We start from the raw sequence: 12,940 nt of genomic DNA, 5'->3' as shown, positions 1-12,940 counted from the left end.
ACACAAAGGAGGGACTAGCTGAAGAATCAACCATATGGTCAGCAATGACTAAAACCACCCATTCCAGCAGGCTTGGCTAAGAAAGCTAATATTTGAAAAGCTGTGGTTTGAGGAACTAGGTGAGTTATGGGAAATTCTAATTTGTTTTATATCTTGTAGATGGTACTTCAGTTAAAAGTTATAAACCACAGACACACATGGCTTATGCAGGACCATTTTTTCTGTTCCTGATCTGTCCCTCTTCATTGTGTGAAGCTGGATGGTTCGTGTTTACTTCACAGCTCCTAAAGTTGAAGATACTGAGTATTTAAAGATATAAATGTTTAATTAAAAAATTATTAGCTTTTAACCTTGTAACATACTCAGGTTTGGAGTAGAAAGGTACTGCAGTACAGTGTTAGGAGCCCAGTGACAAAGAATTCCCAGGATAATGACTGGATGTCATTTCCATGAAGAGGCTTGCTGCTGGCCTATACTGCCAGCTTAAGCAAACTGGGAAAAGATGTGTCCTCTGAGATGTAACCCTATCTTTGGCAGGCTGAGCACAGGCTAGATTTCAGCCTCTCATTCACCCTCCTTCCTCTCTCAACTGGGTGCCTTTGTGTAGTACGTAAACTCTATAATTACACACGGTAGCCCTGCCTTTATATGAATGTATAGATTTTAAAAATATAAATCAGGGATGAAACACTACCAGTAGTCTTATTCAAAACAATATTATTTAATTTAATATTTTCACCTATGAGAGGTAATGAATGCAGAAATATAGTCTCCATTATAGCAGACAGGAAAAAATACATTATCCTACTATTTTCTAGAAAAATGATTGTGGCATTAGCAAATCAAATGGAAAAAGTGAATAAGCAGACTGAGATTACCTGAAAATAGTTAGTTGCTAGTAAGATTCAGTACAATGTATGTTTATTAAATAATCGCTACTAGAACAAACATCTGCGACAACTATGAAGTTAGGAAATGCTGTATTAGCTTGAACAGTTTATCTGTTGGTCACATTAATAAGTGACTCAGAAATATTACAAGTATGGAAAGGCATGATAGTGAACAATGCCACATGAGTCCATTAAGCAAAAATAGATAATGGCCCCTATATCTTAGAACAGACTCACTTATTCATTGGTATGAATAATTTAGCTCTAAAAAGAAAAATCCAAAAGAAGCGAAGACTAACTGTGGAAAGGACTTTGAACTTTTCCTTTTAGAAAGTTAAAAAAAAGAAAAAAAGTGTACATGACTACCACAGCTTGACAACTACCATGTGGCACATTTTATATGACATGAGAAAAAATGGTCAAAAGATCTCAACTTTCTGGAAGTCAACTCAAAAGCTGAGGGCAACTAGCATTTTTGGATTTTACAGTATAGAATGGAATTCCCTTTATATTGAAAACTAAATCATGGACCTTGCTCATAGTAATTTTTCTCAAAGGTTTAGGCACTTTGCAACAGGCTATTGCCAATCTAGAAAAACTGACGTGAAAAAATAATTAGGTCATGTAAATATTAAATACAAATCATGTGATTACATTCAAAGACATGAGATGTCTTAAATGAATAACATATTTTCATTCTGACAAGTGCACACTAGAATCACCTTGCAGAGAAGTGCAGTTGGGCAGTACCACTGTACTGTACCACTGTACCACTTGCTGACAGTCTAGAGCAGGGGAGACAAACTCCCAAGCCAGAGAGTAAACATTTTAGGCTTTGCAGGCTACATACAGTTTCTGTTGCATATTCTTCTTTCTCTAAACGTTTTTAAAATGTAAAAACCAGCTGGGCACGGTAGCTCACGCCTGTAATTCCAGGACTTTGGGAGGCCAAGGCAGGTGAATCACTTGAGGTCAGGAGTTCAAGACCAGCCTGGCCAACCCAGCTCTACTAAAAATACAAAAATCAGCCAGGCATGGTGGCATGGTGGCATGTGCCTGTAGTCCCAGCTACTCGGGAGGCTGAGGCAGGAGAATCGCTTGAACCTTGGGAGGCGGAGGTTGCAATGAGTTGAGATCCTGCCACTGCACTCCAGCGTGGGTGACAGAGAGAGACTCTGTCTCAAAAAAATAAATAAATATATATATATATATATAAAGAATAAAATAAAATAAAATAACCATTCTTACCTTGCAGGCCATACAACGCAGCCTGAATTTGGCCCATGGGTTGTAGTTTACCAACCCCTGATCTAGACCCCTTTGATATTATGACACATTTTTATCATTTTCTTTTAGGCACAGATGATCTCTGAATGAATGCTTATAGGGAACCATATGTATATGCTTAAAGATTTCTCTAATAAATATGGTTGCTGCAACTTTAGAGTTAATTCTGCAAATTCAATTTAAAAGTGATGATTACAGATCTGGCATTGCCAGATGTTTCAGAAGCTTTATGACAATTTTGTGAATATTTAAGTTACCAATGACTAAATTCAGTTCAAGTATCAACACTACATTTTTAAAGCAATGAAGCAGGTCTTGTAAGGGTTGAAAAGGAACTGTATGCAGAGCAGTGACCTGTGGCTGATGCTATACTGACTGATGGCTGCTGAGCTAGAGTAGGGGAATTTTAGGTCACTTGCAGCCTGTAACTGAATTTCTTGATTTGCATTTTAGGGTTTTCTATTTAAAAAAAAATTCTTGTGACCAGTCTTCTACACTAGCTGCCTTTGAAATCAGGTAGTAATTAGCTGAATTTAATGATAAAATGAAGACCTTGAGAAATAATATTTGTTATTTAAAGTACATGAAAATGGGTGGTCAGAACCTGCTTAGCTTTCCTCCAAAATGGCTGAATGTGTATCACAGCAATGGAAATGCTGTAGCTAACAAACGACTTAAGTTCTTGAATGATCTGTCTTCTCCTTAGCTGCTCTGCTGGCCTATCAGAGAAGACTGTGCCTTGGTGAAACTTGTTGTCCCTTACAGTTTCCACTTTTCTTTCAGCAATGTCAAGGTTTCATACTCAAGGCAAAAGTTTATACTCCAAAGTCAGAGTTTTATCTTCAGTTTGAATTTCACGTGTAGAAGTGTCCATATCTGGGTATATGAAGCTGACTGGGCTGATAATTTTGGAGAAATGGTGAAGTCCAGTGGAATGCTCCCAAGGACCTCAACAACACCAGCAGCTCCCCCATGTAGCAATTACGTAGTTAGATATTTTAACAAGTATTTCCTAATTCTTTTTTTTTTTTTTTTTTTTTTTTTTTTTGAGACAGGGTCTCACTCTGTTGCCCAGGCTGGCTGGAGTACAACAGTTAAAAGACAGTATTGAAAATTTCCAGTCAGCTGGGTCAAGATGACATGATTCCTTTTTTTTTTTTTTTTCATTTTGCAGCTCCTTCCATAAAGGGGTTTAACTACTTTAAATCAAATTTTAGTCTTTTTTTTTTTTTTTTTTTTTTTTTTTTGAGACAGAGTCTCGCTCTGTTGCCCAGGCTGGAGTGCAGTGGCACAATCTTGGCTCACTGCAAGCTCTGCCTCCCAGGTTCACGCCATTCTCCTGCCTCAGCCTCCCGAGTAGCTGGGACTACAGGCGCCCGCCACCATGCCCGACTAATTTTTTTGTATTTTTAGTAGAGACGGGGTTTCACTGTGTTAGCCAGGATGGTCTCGATCTCCTGACCTTGTGATCTGCTCACCTCGGCCTCCCAAAGTGCTGGGATTACAGGCATGAGCCACCGCGCCCGGCCCATTATTTTTAAATAGTTAGAACATAGTGAATAAGCTATAATTGTAGACACTGAAAAACAAGACAAAGTGATCAAACTAATTATAGCACTGACAGGATGCAAAATGGAAGACAGAGGTAGGTCTGCAAACAGCCACACAGGTGGAAATTCCAATTGTAAATGGTTCTCTTTGAAATACTCAGTTTTACATAAATGCTTATCCAGCAGCACGTCATAAACCACAGGGCCAAAACAATTTCTTGTCACGTAAACATGGCGTTGGTAGCTAAAACTCAAATTTAGCAACAAATAATTGTTTTCATAGGACTCATAAGATAACCTTAAATTGTTAGATGCTTTTAGGGCATTGGCTAATTCAGAATTGGCTGGTATTATAACAGAACTTAATTTTTGCAGGCATTTAAAGATTTTCATGCATTATGTACCTGAAGGTTTTGTCTCTTAATTTTCTTTGAACCACACCTCTTCTCCTTATTATAAGAAAAACCCTCTTAGGGTAAGGGAAGTCCAAATTAACTGTCCTGAAATTTTGCATTATATTTAAACCATAATATTTGATTTACTTCTGTCAAACAAAACACTACTATTTGGGTTCTCATTTGTAGATTATTTAAAAACATGTTTTTCCTGTTAATTATCAATGCATTTACTATCACAAGGATTAAAAAGATCACTTCAGGTGGTGGGGATGTTTCATGAAACACCATGGTGGGGAGTAGGTAGTGGGCAGGCAGAGTGACAATCAGCTTAACCTCCTTTCACCTAGCTGTTCTTTAGAAAAACAAAAATAAAAGTCAAATTGCTTTCAGTTTTCAAGAGTGAAAATGGAGGCACAAGAAGGATATTCAGATGTGCAAGCAAATTGCTTCTTTTACATCCTTATATTTTCTTTTCTTTTCTTTTTTTTTTTTTTTTTTTTTTTTGAGACGGAGTCTCGCTCTGCCACCATGCCCGGCCTCACAAAGTATTTTCTAAAATATAATTTGCTGTAGAGTTCACAGATGAGCACTTTTCACATTAGGTGATATGCAAACAAATCACTATTGGCTCAGCAGGAAACAGACTTTTTGTACACTCTAGTTAACATGAAGTTTTCCAATAAAACAAATGACAGCGGGAGGGGGTAGTGAGGAATTCAACTCTGTAATGTCCACCTAGAATCCAAGTAGGAAAAAAATAAAGCTATTGAAATAATTTAGTAATATCCTATAGGTCACCAGTGATTTCCATAAAATGCTGCACAGATACAAAGTCTTGAGTATGTTACTTAGTAGCTAAAAAGAGAGCCTTGTGTGAGGCACAGCTGACTTGGAACATTAAAGAGCCTGGCTTCCCTTTCTGCTTTCCATTCTCCCAACAGAAAAAAAGGTCTTCAAAGAATTGGCCAGTCTTACAGCTCACCTTGGGGTGTAGATGACTCTCCACTGTGGTGCTAGGCAATTTTATTGAACAGGTGGCCACTGGTGGTGATGGCTGAACCACTCATTAAACAAATTGCTCTAAATGGCCTCAGTATCAAGGTGTGCTTTCTGTACCCTTAATCTGACTTTAATCCTGCAGAACCTCAGTCTTACCATGTTTAACAGCATTGCCATGTACGATATGCCTTTATCCTACACTGTATATATACTCTTTATGCAGAAGTATATCTAACTGAAAAGTATAAAAATATAATGGTGGAAAACAAATGAATTAAAAAATGTATCACGGCCGATAGCCCAGGTAACTGCAGGTGAAATGTAGCCAGAAGTCAGAATCTTGGGGCAAAATCAAGTATAGTCTTATGGGCTGTGCCTTCAAATGGTTTAGTTTTATACCCTCTTAAGGCAGAATCAAAGTTCTCTTAATGTTTTGGCAAGTGTTTTTCTTCCTGGAGGTTCATAAAAATAGGTGGAAGAATCAGTCTAATGGCTTGTTGGCATGCTAAGGGAAGGATGTCAAGTTGACATCCTTGGATACTTGGTTAAAAACTAAGGCTAGTAGGTGAAGAAAAACAACAGAATAGTTTTTGGTTTTAAATTTGTACAAAGGCTACTTATTGAATACTGGAAAAAATGACAACAGTGTTTTACCATCTTTGCATAAGAAAAAAATGATTTTCCTTTTGAAACTGTAGCTCAGGATTTAATCCTGAGTCACGTCATCATGTGGTAAAAACAATCTGGATTTTACAATAATTTATATAAAGCAAAAAAAGTCATAAAAATGCTAAATGATGCAGAGCTACAAATATGATGAAACATGAGCAGAGGGGTCAAATCAGATTTTTACTCCAGGCAGGTGTTAAGTTTGTGAAAAGTGATGCAATTTGTTATACATTCAAATGCAAATTAGAACTAGCTGCCTTACGATGAGATTTCACTGTCATTTTTTTAGCACCCTAATTTTTGTCGGTTCTGTAGGTTTCAAGTAGCAGAAACTTACATCTATTTCCTTCAGAAAATTAAGGAGCAGATATTTTAATATGCTTTATGTAAATAGGATTCTGATAATTTTAGCTTTAGTTAATGCAACACACTTCCCTGGGCACAACCATGACCTCTCTGAGAACTGGAAAATACTGCATAATTTTAAAAATCAGAGTGTAATGACATTCCCTGACAACTTCAAATAAGTTATGTGAGGAGGATGAACTATGGGTAGTCTAGACCACCAGTCATATTTGTCTAGCCGTAGAAACAGTGACAACTTAAAGATCTGCAAAGATCAGAGCAGAGCTGGCTGAAGGTGCAGCATTCTATACATGTCCTCATGGAGCTTCAGAAAGGTTATAAGATGACCCACTCATTCTGGTTGGCTGTGGCCATAGACAGACACCATAAATCCTGGGATGTGGTCAAGTACTGAACTGGGGGCAGGTCTGAGCTTGCTTATGATCCTCCGACTAGCCCTGGAACAGATAGTGAAGAACTACACAGAATCCCACAGCTAGCTCTCTCTCTTTCTCTCTCTTTTTTTACCTTTGAGAACCATCCATGAGATTAATACAATATTAATCAAATCTGACACAGCTGAGTGCTGGCTCACAGCTAACTATCTGGATATGGGGTTTTGTTGGCTCTTAGCTGACTGCATTATTTAATCAAATATTAAGAAAGGTATAATTCACATGCAACCCTTGGCAAAAAGAAAAGAAGGTTAATTTCTTATAACCAGCACAAACTGTTAACCTGTTAAGAAAAGCCCAACTGTTTCTGCATTTGAGGCATACACACACATCATCTCTGTTTCTTTATAAACTGGAGCGTGAAAGGAGGAGGGGGACAAATAAGATAAAGCCATGAGCTAAACACCCAGCAGGCCCTACTCCTTATTCTCTGTGTGGGTGGCAGCATTAGTCAGAAAGTCACTCCTCTGCTGTGATGGTCATGACATATTTGAACTTGTAGATCTTTAAGGATTTCCTTATTTATTCTGCCAGGTCTATGGTAGGTGCTTGTTTGTTTTCTTGGTGGAATGATTCATCAATGCTTCCTGAGAGGCTCAAACAGGATCACTGGCCAGATTCCAAAGAGAAACTGTTTGGGGACAAATTAGGACAAAATGAGAAAAGACAGAATTGTTCCATGTTATCCCTGAAAAAGAATGAGAAAGAATCCATGGGGCTATGACTATACGTAGGTTTGCTAGTGATTGTCCTGGTATTAGCAGCCTGAGCACAGTTTATTCCTTCTAGACTTGGACCAGATATCAGAGAGTATTTTTATTGAGTTTATTTACATTTATTAAGCTTTGACTTTGTCAAGCATGGAGCTGGGCATATAAATTATCTCTGATCTTTAAAATAACTCTGCAATGTAGTTATTAGCAGCTTAATTTTATTGTTGAAGAAACTAAGGCTTAAAGAGATTTGTCCAAGAACATGCAGTAGTAAATGAAAGATTCACAGCCTTTGGTTCCAAAGCCTGTGTTTGCTCCACTACCTCTCCAAACTCCCCTTTCTTCTTCCACCTCCATCCTATACTCCCAGTACCATACCCCCAACACACACACAGGACCTAGGAAGTGGACTTACCTTCACTTTTGGCCTATATCTCAGGTAAAGTGTTCTTGTATACAAACTGAAAGAAAAGTGGGAGGGGGAAAGCTTTTCAGATTCATTTTGAATTCATGCAAACTGGCGTACTGACAAACGTAACCATAGTGCTTCTGCATGTACGAAGCAAAAACAACATGAGTATATGCTTCATTTGTTCAGCAACTGTTTTTTTTTTGAGCATCTACTCAAAATATTCAGTAAACCATGCTGTAAATGGATGTGCTGTAATCTAGGCTTTGTTGTTCCATTTTATAGAGCACAAGCAGAGTATATTTAGCATAATTCTTTTTTTTTGAGATGGAGTCTTGCTCTGTCACCCAGGCTGGAGTGCAGTGGCGCAATCTCGGCTCACTGCAACCTCCGCCTCCCAGGTTCAAGCAATTCTCCTGCCTCAGCCTCCTGAGTACCTGGGATTACAGGCGCCTGCCACAACGCCCAGATAATTTTTGTATTTTTAATAGAGACGGGGTTTCACCATGTTGGTCAGGCTGGTCTCGAACCCCAGACCTTGTGATCCACCCGCCTCGGCCTCCCAAAGTGCTGGGATTACAGGCGTGAGCCACCGCGCCCGGCCACATTTAGCATAATTCTTAAGGGCCATAGGACTTTCAAAATAGAAAATGAGCACTGACTTCAACTTAAGGTCATCAGCTACATTAACTCCAAACAAGAGCGTCACAACCTGTCCTTTGAAGCTTTGAAGCCACGCATTGACTTCTCTTCTCTAGCTATGAAAATCCTAGATGGTATCTTCTTCCAATAGAAGGCTGTTTCATCTACACTGAAACTCTGTTGTTTAGTGTAACCACTTTCATCAATAATCTCAGCTAGATCTTCTGGATAACTTGCTGCAGCTTCACCTTGCACTTTTATGTTATGGAGATGGCTTTTTTCCTTAAGCCTCATGAACCAACCTCTGCTAGCTTCAAACTTTTCTTCTGCAGCTTCCTCACTTCTGTCAGCCTTCACAGAACTGAAGTGAGTTGGGGCCTTGATCTGGATTAGGCCTTGGCTTAAGGCAATGTTGTGGTTGGTCTGATCTTTTATCCAGACTACTAGAAATTTCTACACATCAGAAATAAGGCTGTGTCACTTTCACTATTCGTGTGTTCTCTGGAGTAGCACTTTTAATTTCCTTCAAGAACTTTCCTTTGCCTTCACAACTTGGCCAACTGTTTGGCACAAGAGGCCTACCTTTTGGCCTATCTCAGCTTTCAACATACGTTCCTCACTAAGCTTAATCATTTCTAGCTTTTGGTTTAAAGTGAGAGATGTGTAACTCTTCCTTTCACTTGAACACTTAGAGGCCACTGTAGGGTTATTAATTGGCCTATTTTTAATTTTGCTTTCTCTTAGGGAATTAGGGAGGCTGGAGGAGAAGGAAAGAGACTGGGGAATGGCCAATTGGTGGAGCAGTCAAAACATACATTTATTAAGTTCACCGTCTTCTATGTGCATGGTTTGTGGTGCCTCAAAACAATTACAATAGTAACATCAAAGATCACTGATCACAGGCCAGGCACCTTGGCTCACAACTGTAATCCCAGCACTTTGGGAGGCTGAGGTGGGATGATCACTTGAGGTCAGGAGTTTGGGACCAGTATGACCAACATGGTGAAAGCCTGTCTCTACTAAAAGCACAAAAATTAGCCAGGCAGGGTGGCGCATTGCCTGTGATCCTGGCTACTTGGGAGGCTGAGGCAGGAGAATCACTTGAACCCAGGAGATGGAGGTTGCAGTGAGCCAAGATAGTGCCACTGCACTCCAGCTTGGGGGAGACTCTGTCTCCCAAAAAAAAAAAAAAAAAAAAAAGATCACTGATCACAGATCACCATAACAGATATAATAATAATAATAAAGTTTGAAATATTGTCAGAATTACAAAAATAAGACACAGAAACATGAAGTGAGCACATGCTGCTGGAAAAATGTCACCTATAAACTTGCTTAATGCAGGACTGCCACAAACTTTCTACTTGTAAAAAACACAATACCTGAAAAGTACAAACAAAAGAAAAAGTTATGCATGCTTGTTTATTTTGAAATCAAGAAGTGTGATGTTTCATGTCTGCTCTTTTTCAAGATTGATCTGGCTACCTGTGGCCTTTTGTGGTTGCATATGAATGTTGGAATTATTTTTTCTATTTCTGTAAAAAAATGCCTTTGGAATTCTAAATGAGATTGCATTGGATCTGTGGATGGCTTTGGGTAGTATGAACATTTTAACAGCTTTGTCTTTTAATCCATGAATACAGGATGTCTTTTCATTTGTTTGCGTTTTGCTTAATTTCTTTTATGAATGTTTTGACCTAGTTAGAGGTCTGTTCTATTTCTTCACAACTCACTCTTGGTAGGTTCTGTTTCTAGGATATTGTCCATTTCTTTTAAGTCATCCAATTGGTTGGCATATAATTGTGGGATTCTTCTTATCTCTGTGGCAGCATTGTAATGTCTCTTCTTTTATTTCTGATTTTATGTATTTGAGTCTTCTCTCTCTTTTTTTGTTAGTCTTGCTAAGGTTTGTCAATTCTGGTGATCTTTCAGTACCCCAACTCTTAGTTTCACAGATTTTTAAAAATTTTTCTATTTTGTTTATTTCTGCTCCATGTTATTTCTTTCCTTCTGCCAAATTTGGGCTTAATTTGTTCTTTTCCTTGTTCTTTGAGGTGTAAAGTTTCATTGAGATCTCTCTTCCTTTTAAATGTGACATTAATTTCTGTGAACTTCTCTTAGTATTGCTTTTGCTGCATGTCATAAGTTTGGTATGTTGTATTTTTGTTTTCACTTGTCTCAAGGTATTTTCTAATTTTTTGACTTCTTCTTTGACCCAGCGGTTGTTCAAGAGTGTACTATTTAATTTTCATGTTTGTGAATTTTCTAGTGTTTTAAAAATATTTACATCCTATTTAAAGAGTAAAGAAAAAAAAAAACAACAAACTCTAGTACGAGGCTAAAAAAGTCTCTATTTCCTACCTGAAAAGGATGTGAAGATAGGAACCAAGGCCAGTTAAAATATGCCACCATGCATGAAATTGTGTGGTAATACCTATGATAGGTGGTACCTTCTTTCGAAAGTTCCTGTGTGGAGAGAGGGAGAAAATCACGTTAAATTTTTAAAATATTTAGCGACTAACGCTGATAGTCTTAGAGCATTTTGAAATATCATTCTCAAAACAGCAGTTATTTAATTGCCTTAAGTTTCCTGTAGTCTGCCACATTGTTATCCAAAGTACATTCTGAGGAACAGTATTCAACAATGATAATTTATGGTCAATCTGTGTCATCTAAACCCTCAGCCACTTCTCTCTCTCATATCTTTTTGAAGCAAATCCCAGATACTATGTCATTTTATTTATAAATATTTAGTATGTATTTCTAAAATATGAAAACCTCCCTAAAACATAACCACATTTTCACACCTAAAGATAATAATAATACTCCCTTAATATCATAAAAGATTCGGTTACTGATTGAAGTTCCAAATTTCTCATACTTTATTTTTTTAAATAGTTGGTTTGTTTGAATCAGAATCCAAAAAAGGCCAACACATTGTATCTGGTTGGATATATCTAAGGCTCTTAATCTATAGGTTCCTCTTCCCTCTTTTTTCCTGCCTCTGCAAATTTTTTTTTTTTTTTTTTTCCCTGAGACGGAGTCTTGCTCTGTCGCCCAGGCTGGAGTACAGTAGCACGATCTCGGCTCACTGCAACCTCCGCCTCCCCAGTTCAAGCGATTCTCCTGCCTCAGCCTCCCAAGTAGCTGGGATTACAGGCACACGTCACCAGGCCCAGCTAATTTTTGTATTTTTAGTAAAGACAGGGTTTCACCATGTTGGCCTGGCTGGTCTTGAACTCCTGACCTCAAGTGATCCGCCCCCTCGGCCTCCCAGAGTGCTAAGATTACAGGCATGAGTCACCACGCCTGGCTGTGCCTCTGCAATTTATTTGTCGAAGAGACCAGGTCATTCATTCTGTAGATTTCTCACAGTCTGAATTTTGTTGATTGCCTTCCTGTAGTACTGTTCAGTACCCTCCTCTCTTCTCTGTTTATGCAAAATTGTTAGTTCACAGGATTTAGAGTTGGAATGACCCACCTGTTTAACCTGTTCAGCATGCTCATTTCATGGAAAAGAGGGCCAGAAAGACAGTGTCTTAATGACAGACTAGAATCCAGAGACCTAAGTCTAAGATTCAAACTCCTGTCAATATATGATTGCTGACAAGATGGTAAAAGGAACACTTGCTTTTTTAGAAAATAACATTAAGCATATGAAAGTGTATATTTATATACATATATTTCATATGCTTATTACAAATCAGTCTTCTTTATTCAATGAAACAGATCAGGCATGTTTCAAAGGAATAGTCAACATTTGATTAACTATATAGTTCTTTGATGCCCACACACACAAAACCCAAACCCTACAGAGGTTATGAAATAGTCTCAGGTCCAAAATTTTAGGTAATTTAAACAGGTATTCTAATAGTCTAACTTTATTATACTGTATATATCTTTTAAATGTCAACAATAGTAAAAATTCATTTCAGGGCACTACTATTTCTATATGTTTATAAAATTCTCTACTTAATAAAATGCTTCCAAAAATATTTCTGAAGGAATGAAAATATATCTTACCTCAGTGACTCACAAAATATGTTATCTATATTCCAAAATAAAAATCCCAATAAAAATATACCCAATGATGTATAACCCAGTCCTCTAAGCCATGGATAAACCCTGTGGGGGGGAAAACAGAAAAGCAAAATAAAATTTTCTCAAGTCATGTCACGATCAGAAATTGAAGCCATCACTTTCTTCCTTTTTTATAAGGGCTGGGATCTCACTATGTTGCCCAGGCTGGAGTGCAGTGGCTATTCACAGATGTGATCATTGTACATTCCAGCCTCGAATTCCTGTGCTCAAGGGTATCCTCCCATCTCAGTCTCCCAAATAGCTGGGAAAATAGACATGTGCTACCATGCCTGGCTAGAAGACATCACTTTCATGAGAAGGAACAGTTTTTGTTTATAGTAAAAGCAGACCTATCAAATTTTCTAATAATTTGCCTACTATATGTAGCCAATAAAAGGTGCTGAGAAATAAGCCACCAGACTTTAATAAATGTATTGGGAAAGTACCTGATAACTTTTTTGGTCCCATGGAAAAGGCAGGGTGATAGTGGATTAGCTATCAAT

At 38.0% G+C, this 12,940-nt stretch overlaps 1 protein-coding gene and 1 long non-coding RNA gene across 9 annotated transcripts in view, besides 1 other annotated feature; one reads left to right on the top strand and one right to left on the bottom strand.

The window, feature by feature from the left end:
* Positions 1-12,940, top strand: part of ACER3-AS1 (ACER antisense RNA 1) — an 80,139-nt gene that overhangs the window by 8,187 nt on the left and 59,012 nt on the right. The gene's annotated exons all lie outside the window — the stretch shown is intronic.
* ACER3 (alkaline ceramidase 3) overlaps positions 701-12,940 on the bottom strand; it is a 165,880-nt gene continuing 153,640 nt past the window's right edge. For 5 of the 8 annotated variants that reach the window (NM_018367.7, NM_001300954.2, NM_001300955.2 and 2 more), the window contains 4 exons: positions 12,381-12,482; positions 10,719-10,823; positions 7,722-7,767; positions 701-7,224 (listed from right to left, as the gene is read on the bottom strand). In NM_018367.7, the coding sequence (NP_060837.3) occupies positions 7,171-7,224; positions 7,722-7,767; positions 10,719-10,823; positions 12,381-12,482 (307 nt within the window). In that variant the 3' untranslated portion in view covers positions 701-7,170. Of the gene's footprint in view, positions 7,225-7,721; positions 7,768-10,718; positions 10,824-12,380; positions 12,483-12,940 lie in introns of those variants that run through there. The other 3 variants (XM_011545151.3, XM_047427235.1, XR_007062489.1) reach the window with 3 other exon arrangements.
* Positions 2,509-2,558: a silencer, noted in NCBI's record as "silent region_3794". NCBI's record gives its function as "represses an Ori minimal core promoter by ATAC-STARR-seq in GM12878 lymphoblastoid cells {active_cell/tissue: GM12878}" and the evidence as "EXISTENCE:reporter gene assay evidence [ECO:0000049][PMID:35858748]".

The sequence above is a fragment of the Homo sapiens genome, chromosome 11, assembly GCF_000001405.40.
Source record: "Homo sapiens chromosome 11, GRCh38.p14 Primary Assembly".
Taxonomy (NCBI): Eukaryota; Metazoa; Chordata; class Mammalia; order Primates; family Hominidae; genus Homo; species Homo sapiens.
The sequence above is the reverse complement of the archived record's forward strand: the minus strand, read 5'-3'. Positions and strand labels throughout refer to the sequence as shown.